The 12,806-nt window shown below is 48.9% G+C and overlaps 1 protein-coding gene across 5 annotated transcripts in view, besides 3 other annotated features; it reads right to left on the reverse strand.

Annotated features, from left to right (window-relative positions):
• Nucleotides 1-12,806, reverse strand: part of ANK1 (ankyrin 1) — a 243,517-nt gene that overhangs the window by 92,754 nt on the left and 137,957 nt on the right. For all 5 annotated transcript variants that reach the window (NM_001142446.2, NM_020477.3, NM_020475.3 and 2 more), the window contains exon 2: nucleotides 12,058-12,159. In NM_001142446.2, the coding sequence (NP_001135918.1) occupies nucleotides 12,058-12,159 (102 nt within the window). The remainder of the gene's footprint in view (nucleotides 1-12,057; nucleotides 12,160-12,806) is intronic.
• Nucleotides 9,413-9,707: a silencer, noted in NCBI's record as "tiled region #338; HepG2 Repressive non-DNase unmatched - State 22:ReprW". NCBI's record gives its function as "represses a minimal TATA promoter and a strong SV40 promoter by Sharpr-MPRA in HepG2 cells {active_cell/tissue: HepG2}" and the evidence as "EXISTENCE:reporter gene assay evidence [ECO:0000049][PMID:27701403]".
• Nucleotides 9,413-10,296: a biological region, named in NCBI's record as "Sharpr-MPRA regulatory region 338".
• Nucleotides 9,627-10,296: an enhancer, noted in NCBI's record as "H3K27ac-H3K4me1 hESC enhancer chr8:41613123-41613792 (GRCh37/hg19 assembly coordinates)". NCBI's record gives its function as "activates a minimal SCP1, AML or CMV promoter by ChIP-STARR-seq in naive H9 embryonic stem cells {active_cell/tissue: H9 hESC(naive)}" and the evidence as "EXISTENCE:reporter gene assay evidence [ECO:0000049][PMID:30033119]".

Raw genomic sequence — 12,806 nt, forward strand, 5'->3', positions numbered from 1 at the left:
TTCTGAGTGGCTGGGCATCTGTCCTATTTGTAAAGGAACTGTGAGGCACGACCTTTACTGGAGTTCTGATATTATTCCAGGATGGAAACCCCAGAGTGCAATCAAACACACTAAGAGAACAGCCCTCAGCCCACAGGGAAACCCGCTGATGGGGGAGACCTCTTCTGGAGGGCAGGCCTCTCGTTCTGCGGGGCCATACCACCTGCAGCCTCTTTCTAACCCGGATAGTTTATGGCTCCCCAGAGACTGCTTGGTGGGAAAGGTCTGCTAAAAATATATGATCTTGGAATCTAAGGAATCAGAAGCCAGGCAGAGCTGAAGCAACTGCCGTAACCCTAGTGGAAAATCACACCTGATCTCCTTTGCAAATCTGTCTCTTGCCTAGGGACAGGAAAGACAGAATAAGAGAAGAAACTGAGAGGACAGCACAAACTCAGAGAGAGGTGGCGCAGATGGAAAGGGAGGCAACCGGCTCTGAGCATTTTCTCTGTTTGCTTTGTTGCAATCTAACTTTAGCCCTCCTGCCTGGGTAGCGCTTAGGATTCACAGTTTGCTGGATACTCATGAGGAGGAAAAACACTCTAATCCTTTTCATTACCTTAAGAAAAAGGAATGCACAACGATTTTAGAGCTCTGCAAGGAAATGAATCAACCTCAGCTCACCTTCTTTCTATTTTGATTGTACAGAACTCGCAGCAGCCCTGTGCTCTGAGAAATCCTGCATCTCAGCAGCAAATCAACTGCAGAGGCTGATGGGCCCTGGGGAAGGTGGAGGAGGAAGTGTGAGCTCGAGTTAATGAGAGAATGGGACTCTGAAATGCAGTTCAGCATCTAAGAATATCTCCTATGGACTAGAAAGAGCATCTATGCCCGAGATCTTGGTATTCTTTAAAAAAAAAAAAAAAAGACCCAGACCTTTAGAAGAAGGGCAGTGGGGTCAGGAGAAAGGAACCCTGGGCTTCTAAACTGTCCTTATCTATGACCTCCCAGGCTTCAATTTATGCTGCTTTGCAATGACAAAACTGCTCTGAGCTTCCAGTTTCGTCTGAATTCCATAATTCCAAGAATAAGACAACGTAACAGCTTGCAGAAAAGAGTTAAGCTATGTGTTTTGCATGTACAGAAAAAGTAATATGCCAAGATTCATATAAACTGTTAACAGTGGTTTCGCAGAACGTAAGGGAGTTAAAATCAGAGCCAAGGCTTGTCAAAACGGACAGAAAGGGTTTACACCAAAGAAGTCAATCGAATGCAAACAATCGTGGCCAATTCTCATTCCTCCTCTAGTCTCATCACAACCATGGGATCTGCTTTCAGCGTTTCCTCTAACAAGCAGAGAGGCAAATCTTCCTCAAGGCCCAGACCGAGTGTCATTTTGCCTGTGACTTTACCTGTCCCCTCTCTTTGCCACACTGTACCTTATTTCTAGCCCCCTAAAAGTGGATTGCTTTCTTGGCCATGTTCCACGGACCTTGATAACTCTCTCAAGACCCTCATCACACAGAATTGCATTTATCTGCGCTTGTGCCTGTCTATCCCAAAGGCCTGAATTCTTTGAGATCCTGTGTTTTGCTCACCTTGGTAATCAGGTCCTAGCATGGAGCCTGGTGCATAAGGTTTGCAGAATTCAATGCACCTTCATGGAACCTGCCACACACAGGCCTATCTTTTTTCTTTGTCTCTAAGCACTATGAAGATCATGTCTAGTCTTCATATTCTAAATTCCTAGAGCAATGAAACCATAATGTGGAGTTTAGAGAGTGTGTGTTCCTTGCACTACATTCCGGATCGTTCCTGAAGGTGCTAGTCACCCTTTTCCCAGTCCCTAGGATTCCATGGAATGTCCCTGCTGTGACTACAAATGAAGATTTTTATGTAACTGAACTGGTCAATTAGCTCTTCCTTGGCTGCAGAGGAAGGGAAAATGAAACCAGTCTGGGGCAGATCACCCAGAGCAATAACAGGCTTGCTGCGCAGTGTCAAATCCATCCTCTGAGTCAGTACAGAGGCTTGGGCTGGGTGTCTCAGTCCTGGGCTCTGAGACTCTTCACCTCTCTGAGTCTCCCCAGCCTCCCTGGTCAAGCACCTGCTCTAACCAACTCTCAGGGTGACGTCAGCATTAACGGTGTCGCAGGTACCAGGTGCCAGGCATAGGGGCACCTAGCTGCATATCTGGTTTAACTATTTAACACAGAACACTCTTCTCCCAGGTGAGGGCTCCAATGAAACGTTCTTTCTTCCTCATCCCTATTCCAGAGCTGCACCAAGGCAGCAAGTCTAAAGAAGTTTAATACCACAACACCATCATTTTAGGAAGGCTTTCTGTGTGTTTTCGGGGTGCAGCTAGGATCAGAGAACTATGTAGTTTAATACATTTTTCTATGCCTGTCAACAGTTCCTAAGAAAAAGACAATGACAGAGAAAAGTGCCAGGTTCTAGATCTATACAGATCTAGCTCTAACCTCCTTAGCTGGATTGACCACCATCCTCACCCTCTTTCATTTCATGTACCCCAACCTCCCCGAACTGCCCCCTGCCCCAGTGCCCTTTGGCACTCCAGCCTTTGCAGTCTGTTCCTTCTCACAGCAATTCCTGTTTCCCAGTTCTGTACTCGGAGACTTGTATCCTTCCTTCACAACCTTTCTCTGACTCATTAGCAAGCCAGCCACTACCCTTAGACAAGAAACGACATAAGGGCAGGTCCCAGGACCTGCTCATCTTTGACTGGCTGGCTCTTGGAACATTAGAACAGCTCAAAAAATATTTGTTGAATGAAGCCAGGCGCGGTGGCTTACGCCTGTAATCCCAGCACTTTGGGAGGCTAAGGCGGGCAGATCACGAGGTCAGGAGATCAAGACCATCCCAGCTAACACAGTGAAATCCCGTCTCTGCTAAAAATACAAAAAATTAGCCGGGCGTGGTGGCGGGCACCTGTAGTCCCAGCTACTTGGGGGGCTGAGGCAGGAGAATGGCATGAACCTGGGAGGCGGAGCTTGCAGTGAACAGAGATCCTGCCACTGCCCTCCAACCTGGGCGACAGAGCAAGACTCCATCTCAAAAAAAAAAAAATTGTTGAATGAATGATTACACGGACAAAAACATCTCCTGTACTCCTTCAGGATGGCACTTACGATACTGAATTTGTAATCTTTTATCTGCAAGCTGGACCTTTTACCTGCCTCTGAGTTCTTTGAAAACAGGGCACGAATTTATTCATTTTGGTTAGCCCTAGTCTCTAGCATGGTGCATGGATCATTGTAACTGGTCAATAAATGTTTGCAGAATAAATGAATGAGCAGAGAAATTTCATCTTGGACTTTTTTTTTTTTTTTTTTTTGAGATGGAGTCTTGCTCTGTTGCCCAGGCTGGAGTGCAGTGGCACAATCTCGGCTCACTGCAACCTTCGCCTCCCGGGTTCAAGTGATTCTCCTGCCTCAGACTACCAAGTAGCTAGGACTGTAGGCACCCACCACCATGCCCGACTAATTTTTTATTTTTAGTAGAGATGGAGTTTCACCATGTTGGTCAGGCTGGTCTCAAACTCATGACCTCAGGTGATCCACCCGCCTCGGCCTCCCAAAGTGCTGGGAATTACAGGCATGAGCTACTGCGCCTGGCCTCATCTTGGACTTCTTCTTCTTTTTTTTTTTTGAGAAGGAGTTTCTCCCTTGTTGCCCAGGCTGGAGTGCAATGGTGCGATCTCAGCTCACCACATCCTCCACCTCCCAGGTTCAAGTGATTCTCTTGCCTCAGCCTCCTGAGTAGCTGGGATTACAGGCATGCGCCACAACGCTTGGCTAATTTTGTATTTTCAGTAGAGACAGGGTTTCTCCATGTTAGTCAGGCTCGTCTCGAACTCCTGACCTCAGGTGATCTGCCCGCCTCGGCTTCCCAAAGTGCTGGGATTACAGGCGTGAGCCACCACGCCCAGCCTCATCTTGGACTTCTTAAGCCCAACTCCCCAAATCCAAAGTCATACAGCATAAGATGATATTCAGAAGTAACTTTTAGACCTCAGTTTCCTGAGCTATAAAATGGAAATTGAATGCCGTGAGCTCCACTAAGCCCTAAGATTCTATAGCTTGGAAAGGTCGTAATTATCACCATCACCAGAGCACAAGAAATCCTGATCAAAAGACTTGGAATTTGGCTGCTGTAGAAAGTACTACACTGTAGCAGAAATTATTGTTATAGGCGCTCCATTTATTCCAAATGCCCGCAACCCTTTACCTTCAAGATAAACATTAGGGCTTCCTAATGCACATGTGGAACTTTAGGGCACATCCAGGGAGCTGGCATGGTTTCACGTGCTTTCCTGGGCTGGGTTTTCGCACTGGAAATCGTGTATGCTTTTGTGATCGTTCAGATGGTCGAGCTTCTGGACACTGCAGCAAATATTGCCAAATACTCGACCCGTGGGGCTAACGCCAGCATCTGAGCCATGCTTATTGCAGGCTCATTATCCTAAGTATGCACGATTGCACAAGGCTTTTACAAAGTGATGGTGCTTAGTCTAGTTCCTACGTGGACTAAGTATAAAATATATAAGCTTTCACCATTCATAGCTATAGCAAACAACATTGCTGCTTTTTTTTTTTCCACACAGTCTGTCAACTGGGTTTATGAGCACGTGCTATAGGTTAAGCAGGATCCTGACACAGAGCAATCAGGAAAGCAAAGCCCTCTCCCCTTAAGGTGCCTACAATTTAGTGAAGACAAAAATAAGCAGACACATACATGCATATGAAGGCACGCAGTAACAAGCACTATGGAGAAAAATGAGACAGGCAAAGAGGACCAACAGTGCCTGGGCTGCTCTGGGAAGTCTTCACTTTGAACTCTGCCTTACGCTGAGTTGTGGACGACAAAGCTTCTCCTTTTCATGGAAAATTATCTCCTGGAGTCTCAAGCCCTTTCTTTGCTATCAGGAAGGCCAAATGAACCAGCAAGTGTCAGCATCATCGGAATAGAACAGAAAACTAAAAGAGTGAGGCTTTTTGCCCCCGGGATTCCAGCTCACGGCCCCCAGTGGAACATCCATGTCAATCTGACAATTGTAGGAATTCAGGGGACACAGGCCGGCACTGCTCTTTTCTGGTTTTATTTTATTTGGTTGACTCATCAATGTGTATAGTCAGTTACTTCATCCCAGAAAGTATTTTTGTATTGCTATAGTCTCCATGAGAAAAAATTTTGATTTGATATTAATCTAACAATAATTCTGGAAACTGAGCATGTGAAGCTAATATGGGTCTGTGCACAATTATGTGGCCATTTATTAAGACAAATGCCAGAGTATCTACCATAGGACACATCCTATGCCAGGCGCTGTGGAGAAACAGAGTCCCCAATCATGGGTTTTGCCTCACTGCGGCTTGGAGCCCACCAGGAGAGGGAAGACCTGCTCGATGTTACCAAGCCACATAGTAGGACCAGCTAGGCTTGAGCCTTAAGAGAGGTACTGACACATCACAAAGGCAGGAATGGCTTCAAGCTATGGGGATCAAGGCTGTCTTCACAGTGGCTGTTGAGCTGAGATGGAACCTACCAACCCATTGCTATGTGGCTGCTCTAGCTGGAAGAATGACCCATTCCCAGGCTGCGTAAGGAGCCCCGGCAAAATGTGTGCTGAGACCAACACATCTGGGGTGATGACACTCCAAGCCTGGGCAGCAAGTCCTCTGGCCTCCCCACCTCTCCTCTCTCCCCATTATTCAAAGCCACCCCGGGGTCCCACCTGGCCCCCGCACCAGCCTCCTCACCAGTCTTGCCGCTCTTGTCCCTGTGCTCTGAGTCTATCCTCCACACAGCAGCGAGGGCAATTGTTTAGAAACCTCCATCAGCATAAGCATCTCTTGTGTAACACCTTCAAATGACTTCACCCTTATGGCAAAATCTAAGCCCTCACCAATGCAAGCCCTCTTTGATCTGACCCCAGGCACTCCTCCAACCCCCCTGCCTACCACCTTCCCTTCCATCACTCAACTCCAGCCTCACTGTTCCCCCAAGCAAACCACTCTTACTCCTGCCCCAGGGCCTTTGCACGTGTTTCCTGCTCTCCCAAGAATACTGTTCCCCAGAAACCACATGGCGCTCTCCCTTACTTCTTCCAGACCTCTTGAAAGTCGTCTCCCTAGAGAGCCCTCCCAACCACCCCACCGAAATAGTCACCTTGACCTTCCTCCTCCCCAGTGTCTCCCATCAGCTGACTTCATGTATGTGCCCATCCTCTTAGCTATTGTCTATTTCCTTCACCAGCATGCACAGGCCACGAGCGCGCAGACTATTTTGTCTGTCTTGTTCAGTGCCTAGAATAGGCCTGGCACAGAGTGGGTGTTTAATGAGTGCTGTGGAATGACCCCACACAGGCGAGTGGGAGTATATTCAACATGCCTTTCCTCCCTGCTCTCATCAGCCCCCGTCAGCACTCGACTTCCTCGAAGGCTGAATGACTTCCAAATATCTATCTTTGGGCTGGACCTCTTATCTGAGTTCCAGGCTCAAATATCCAACTGCTTACTATATATTTCTGCTTGGATTCCTCAGAGCCTCCTTACCAGGATCTGGAACAGCTCTGCTCTTGACTCCTCCCCCGTGTTTCCACACACCGGTCTGCTCCCAGCATCCCTCATTTAGTGGATGGTGCCACCACCCACCTGCCGTGGAAGCCAGCCCTCGGAAAGTCTTTCTTGAGTCTACTTCCCCTCAGTGCCCCATCCAATCCATCACCCAAGCCTGCTTGGCTTTGCTCCATCTCCACAGCCATGACCCTCATCCAAGATGCCCACACGTCCCTCCTGCGCTGCTGGGCACACACAGGCCCCCCCCCACTGCACCGCTGGGCCCTCCGCCTGTTTTCCATGCGGTAGCCAGTGAGACCCTTTAAAGCACAACCCTGATCACGTCACTCCTGTGCTTGAATCTGTGGTTCACTTTCCTCTATGCTCGGGAGAAAGACTGGAATCCTTCATGTGGCTTCTACAAGGGGGGGATATTCAACCAGGACACAGCAGTACAGCTGTGCAGGTGTTAAATGCTGAAACGCTCCACTCCTCCAGGTCAGTGGCCACTGCCGCAGGCTCTTTTTTTTTTTTTTTTTTTTGAGACAGAGTCTTGCTCTGTTGCCCAAGCTGGAGTGCAGTGGCTCGATCTCGGCTCACCACAACCTCTGCCTCTTGGGTTCAAGAGATTCTCTTGCATCTCAGCTTCCCAAGTAGCTGGAATTACAGGTGCCTGCCATCATGCCCGGCTAATTTTTTATTTTAGTGGAGACTAAATAGTTCCATCATGTAGGCCAGGCTGGTCTCGAACACTTGACCTCAGGTGATCTGCCCACCTCGGCCTCCCAAAGTGCTGAGATTACAGGTATGAGCTATCGCGCCCGGCCTGCTGCAGGCTCTTAAGTACCCCATCCCTGCTGCTCTGGCCACTGTCCCCCTCCCCCAGACCCCTTCCCCTCAGTCAGCAACTACGGGGTTAACATCTGGTGCAGCTGGTTAGCACACACATGCATGCACACACACAGCTCTGGCCCAGGGGCACGCTGTCCCAGTTGTTTATAATTTCAACTTCTAGTTTAGATTCGGGGGTACCTGTGCAGGTTTGTTACATGAATGTACTGCATGACACTGAGGTTTGGAGGGCATATGATCCTGTCACCCAGGTAGTGAACACGGTACCCAATAGTTAGTTTTTCCACCCATGCCCTCCTCCCGCCCTCCCACACCCATAGTTCCCAGTGTCTCCTGTTCCCATCTTTACGTCCCTGTCTCTGTCGCTGAGTGTTGTGACTCTCGCCCCTACCTGTAAGCTCCAGCACAATCCCAGCTCCACCTTGCCTGGCTTCTCGTGCTGTCTGCACTGCACCCACTCTGGCCTTCCTTCAACCCTCTGCTCCTTTCTCTGCCTCTGGGGCTTTGCACAGGCTGCTCTCTAAGACCGGCATGTTCTCCCTTGCTTCACCTTATTTGCCTCTGCTCCTCCCTCACCTCAGCTGTCTCTTCCTCATGGTAGCCTTCTCTGACCTCTGACTCTAGGGCAGTCCTCTCATATACTCTCTGCCTTCCATTCATGGTTCCTAACATAGTTTTTGGTATGCATATCTGTTTGTGTCATTATTTGATTAATAGCTCTCACTGCCAATAGACTACAGTTCAGAACGGATAAGGAACGTGACTTTAAAATGAAATTATTCTATCCCTTCAGCCCAGCTCTCCATATACACGTGGAGATGCACAGGAAGTACATTAGACACAGGCATCTAAAGTGCAAACAATAAATTTTAAAATTGGCATTCACATAAGGGGGTTCCTGTATGCACACATGTGTGTGTTCTTACATATAAATTTCTTCTTTTCTGTAGACATGGTAATGATAATGATGATAGAACATTAGTAGACACAGTCTATACAACAAGGAACTGCCCTGAATATTCAGACATCTCTTATATAAGCCAAGAGTTCCTCTTTCCACGCTACTTAGAGTAATTACTTCCTATTATGGCAAACAGTACGCATTCTTTCCACAAAAACATACTATTTGAAAGTGTGTTACTTATGTAAGGATAAGTATTTGCCCTGTTACTGCCACCACAGTCCATCAGCTCAGAAGATTCAAGCCGAAAGCAAATTCTCTTGCCATGACCCCGGGACAAGAGCTTGCTTTTATGCGTGTTTTAAAGAGCAGAAAGCTCTAGTAGCATTAAGAGGCTGGCCCTGTGCACATTACGCAGATGCAGGATCGTCCCGCTGGGTGCATTCGTGGGTTTCATGCAGGCATGGGTTCAGCCACTGCAGTCCCTCCCCCACCACCAGGACTCTCCCTGCAACAGCAAAACCAAACTGCCCTGTGCAACCAGAATGAGGTTCAGGGAACCCTGACCAGCTCCTTTCCAGGCGCAGCCACCTGCAGCTACCTGTTCTGCTCAGCCACAGACCATAAAACAGGGACCAACAGGGCCACATCTGGCAGCTGTGGGAATTAACCAGCAGCAAGGGGCTTTGCACTTGGTGTGTCCTGTCTTTCGTTCCCTTCTGACGCTCATTTCATAACTTGTGGCAGTGTCCTCTTTAAGAGAGAGGCCAGGCTTAGCCAGGACTGCAGTCTTGAGTCTGAGGCAGGAGCCTCCCCTCAGCCTGAAGCAGGGCTGACAGCCACTTGTCACTGGCGCTGAGCCAATCGGAAATGGTGTCAATAAAGTGCAAATAATACCTCGGTGCTTGCTGCTCTCTGAGCCCAAAACGAACCGAAGAGGTGCTCTGAGGAGAGAAGGCAGAGTGACAAGGCAGTTACACCCAAGGCCTCTCCAACGGGAGACCAATCAGGACACAGCTATTCCCTGGTGGCATCAAAATCTTCCAATTTCACACAGAAAATGAGCCCTGGCTCAAGTCTAACACACGTTCAGTTGTCCCCATTTCAGCTGAATGGATTCCTTTGAGAGCTAGAATCTTAACCCTTGGAAGGCCTCTGAAGGTGTGATTCACCTCCGCTGAGAACTGCACTGCGGAGAAACACATCTGCAATTCTCCAGCCACAGTAAGAACAAAGAAAGCCTCCAGGTGTGCATCTCTGCAAGCCCAAGAATGCATCCCAGGTGGAGAGAGCGAGCAACCCACCCTGCCTATGGGGGGCTGGGGCAACACAGCTGCAGCCTGTGCAGCTGCTTCTGGAGGTGCAGTGCTAAGAAGGTCCCAGACCCTGTCTCCTGAACAACTCTCACACCAAGACTCTCACCCTGCCTCCAGGCTTTGCTGCATCCACCTCTTGGCATCAAAAAATGGGCTGAGTTTCAACCTGCTATGCAAAGGCCAGCCTGGCAGATGCTTTGTTAGAACCACCACAATGTCCTCTGGGCTGTGGATATGTGGATGTTGGCATTTCTGGGTGGAGGGATGAGAAAAGGGGCGGGGGGCCTGGTCCTTCATCCAGTTTGCAAATTCCAGTCAGGTCCACATACCTCACTTTCCCTCTGAAGTGCACTGCCAGGGTCTTTGCTTCTTATCACACACCTACTTCTGTTTCCCATCACATACCATACTGCTCCATTCTTTCTGATCTTTTAGCTGTGAATTTCTGCCACTGCAAGACCAACTGAATCCAAATGGGGTCTTAGCCCTAGGAATGGAGGCAGGTAGTATTTTGCATTTTATTTATTTATTTATTTATTTTATTTATTTATTTAAGACAGAGTTTCACTCTGTTGCCCAGGCTGGAGTGTAGTGGCACGACGATCTCGGCTCACTGCAACCTCCGCCTCCTGGGTTCTAGCGATTCTTCTGCCTCAGCTTCCCAAATAGCTGGGACTATAGGCACGCACCACCATGCCCGGCTAATTTTAGTATTTTTAGTAGAGACAGGGCTTCACCATATTGGCCAGGCTAGTCTCGAACTTCTGACCTCGTGATCTGCCTGCCTCGGCCTCCTAAAGTGCTGGGATTACAGGTGTGAGCCACCGCGCCCGGTCTATTTTATTTTATTTCTGAGATGGAGTCTCGCTCTGTCACCCAGGCTGGAGTGCAATGGCATGATCTCGGCTCACTGCAACCTCCGCCTCCTGGGTTCAAGCAATTCTCCTGTCTCAGCCTCCCAAGTAGCTGGGATTACAGGCATGCACCACCATGCCCGGCTAATTTTTGTACTTTTAATAGAGATGGGGTTTCTCCACGATGGCCAGGCTGGTCTCGAACTGCTGAGCTCAGGTGATCCGCCCACCTCAGCCTCCTGGAGTGCTGGCATTACAGGCATGAGCCACTACACCGGATAGTATTTTGCATTTTAAACAGGGGCAGGATGGATAGGGAAACAGTAGATGAGGGGGTAGGACAGAGGCATGTCGCCCATGGAAAACCTAACCTACGTTCAGAAAATCTGGCCCTGCTGGCTTGGAAAAGTCACCCAAGCCACTAAAGTACAGAGGAACCATGAAGACACTATGCTAAATAAAAGAAGCCAATCTCAAAAGTACAAATATAGCAGGATTCCGTTTCTGTGAGGTCCCTATAGTAGTAAAATTCGTAGAGACTGGAAGTTGAAGGGTGGCCACCAGGGGCTGGGGAGTAGTCGGAAATGGGGCGTTAGTGTTTAAAGAGAACAGAGTTTCAGTTTTGCAACATGAAAAGAGTTCTGGAGATGGATGATGATTACAGGATAATATGAATGGACTTAATCCCATTGAACTGTACGCCGAAAAATGGTTAAGACAGGAAATTCTATGCTGCATATCTGACCACAATTAAACACACATTTTTAATGGCTAAGATGGTTTTTAAAAAGTCGCAATGGATAACTGTATTCTAAATTAGAAACAATTAGCATGTGTAACTAAACAACTTAATTGGCAGGCAAATATCTACAAACAAACAAAACCTGTCACCAATCCACAAGCCCAAGCCACACACCTGTTCCCTTCCTGGAGGGTCATTGCCTCTCTATTTAGTTAGTTCCTGGATCTTTGGCTCCAAGCCCGAGTCTCTGCCCTCCAACCCAACCCAAACACATTTTGTTTCCTCGCCAGCCCCTTCTGAAGCTAAGGCTTGGCTGTGTCACTCAGGAGCCCTGGAGAGCCAGCCTCTGCACCAGCCCCACCATCCTCAACCCGAGCCCACTCGCCTTTGTCAGCACCTAACACAAGCGGGGCCTCGTTCCTCGACTTTCTTCTCAGGCTAGCCGAGAACCCACACAGACTGCTGGTGGACAAAGGAGACTGAACATCCCCACTGACACAGCATCTTTCAAAGGCTCTTCCTCCTGCCCCAATTCAAAGGCCACATATTCTAAGACAACAGCGGGAATCAATTGCAACTTCTAAGCGAGGAGACCGCAGGGGATCTGTGCGGGCCTCGCCCACACTGTTCAGGCATCAGCCCTTCTCTGTGGGGCCCTGGGCCACGGCAGGAGTGGAAACAGCAAGGTTAGGGCCTTCCACAGGCAGGAGCCCTGGGGGAGTTTTGAGGCCACTGAGAAAAGGTTAATAGAGGCAGTTTCAAAGCTCTCAGGAAATGGCATCAGGCAAGAGCTACTCTTCAGAGACAACAGGCCTGCCTCCATCCCACTTACCTGGTTACAGGTGTTAATATCTACCCCATTCCGCAGGTGATCCAAAGCTTTGTCCAAGTTACCTGATCTTGCTGCTCTCAGAAAGCTGGTAGCAGCATCGGCCTGTGAGGAAAAACAACAGGCGGTGAGTGTCCTGGGTGTATTAATGACTTCTCCACCCCGTTCAAGTCCCAGGCCCCCGCAGCAGCCCCTGCATCCTCTGATGTGGCACCCTGGTGCCCACAGTGACACCAGGTGTGCACAGGAGCCTGAGAGCCCCTGGTTGGACTGCCTTCACACCCAGGCCTCCCTTCCTTTGGTTTTTTGTTTTTTGTTTTGTTTTGTTAAGAGAGAGTGTTGCTCTGCCACTCAGGCTGCTGGAGTGCAGTGGCACAAGCGCAGTTCACTGCAGCCTTGAATTCCTGGGCTCAAGAGATCCTCCCAAGTAGCTGGGACTACAGGTGTGTACCACCAAGCCCAACTATTTTTTTAAACTTTTTTTTTTTTTATAGAGACAGGGCATCACTATGTTGCTCAGGCTGGTCTCAAACTCCTGAGCTCAAGCGATCCTTCCACCTTGGCCTCCCAAAGTGTTGGGATTACAGGCATGAGCCACCGTGCCTGGCCCCCTTTTGGTATTTTTATAAGCAAACGTTCTTGGCTTGGACTCAGGAAGAATCAGCCTTTGAGGGGGAGCCCATTCCTATGGCAAGCGCACAGCACAGCCTGGTGTCTCCCTGCTCTGAGGTTTCAGGGGCTCCACAGTCTTG

The sequence above is a fragment of the Homo sapiens genome, chromosome 8, assembly GCF_000001405.40.
Source record: "Homo sapiens chromosome 8, GRCh38.p14 Primary Assembly".
Classification (NCBI taxonomy): Eukaryota; Metazoa; Chordata; class Mammalia; order Primates; family Hominidae; genus Homo; species Homo sapiens.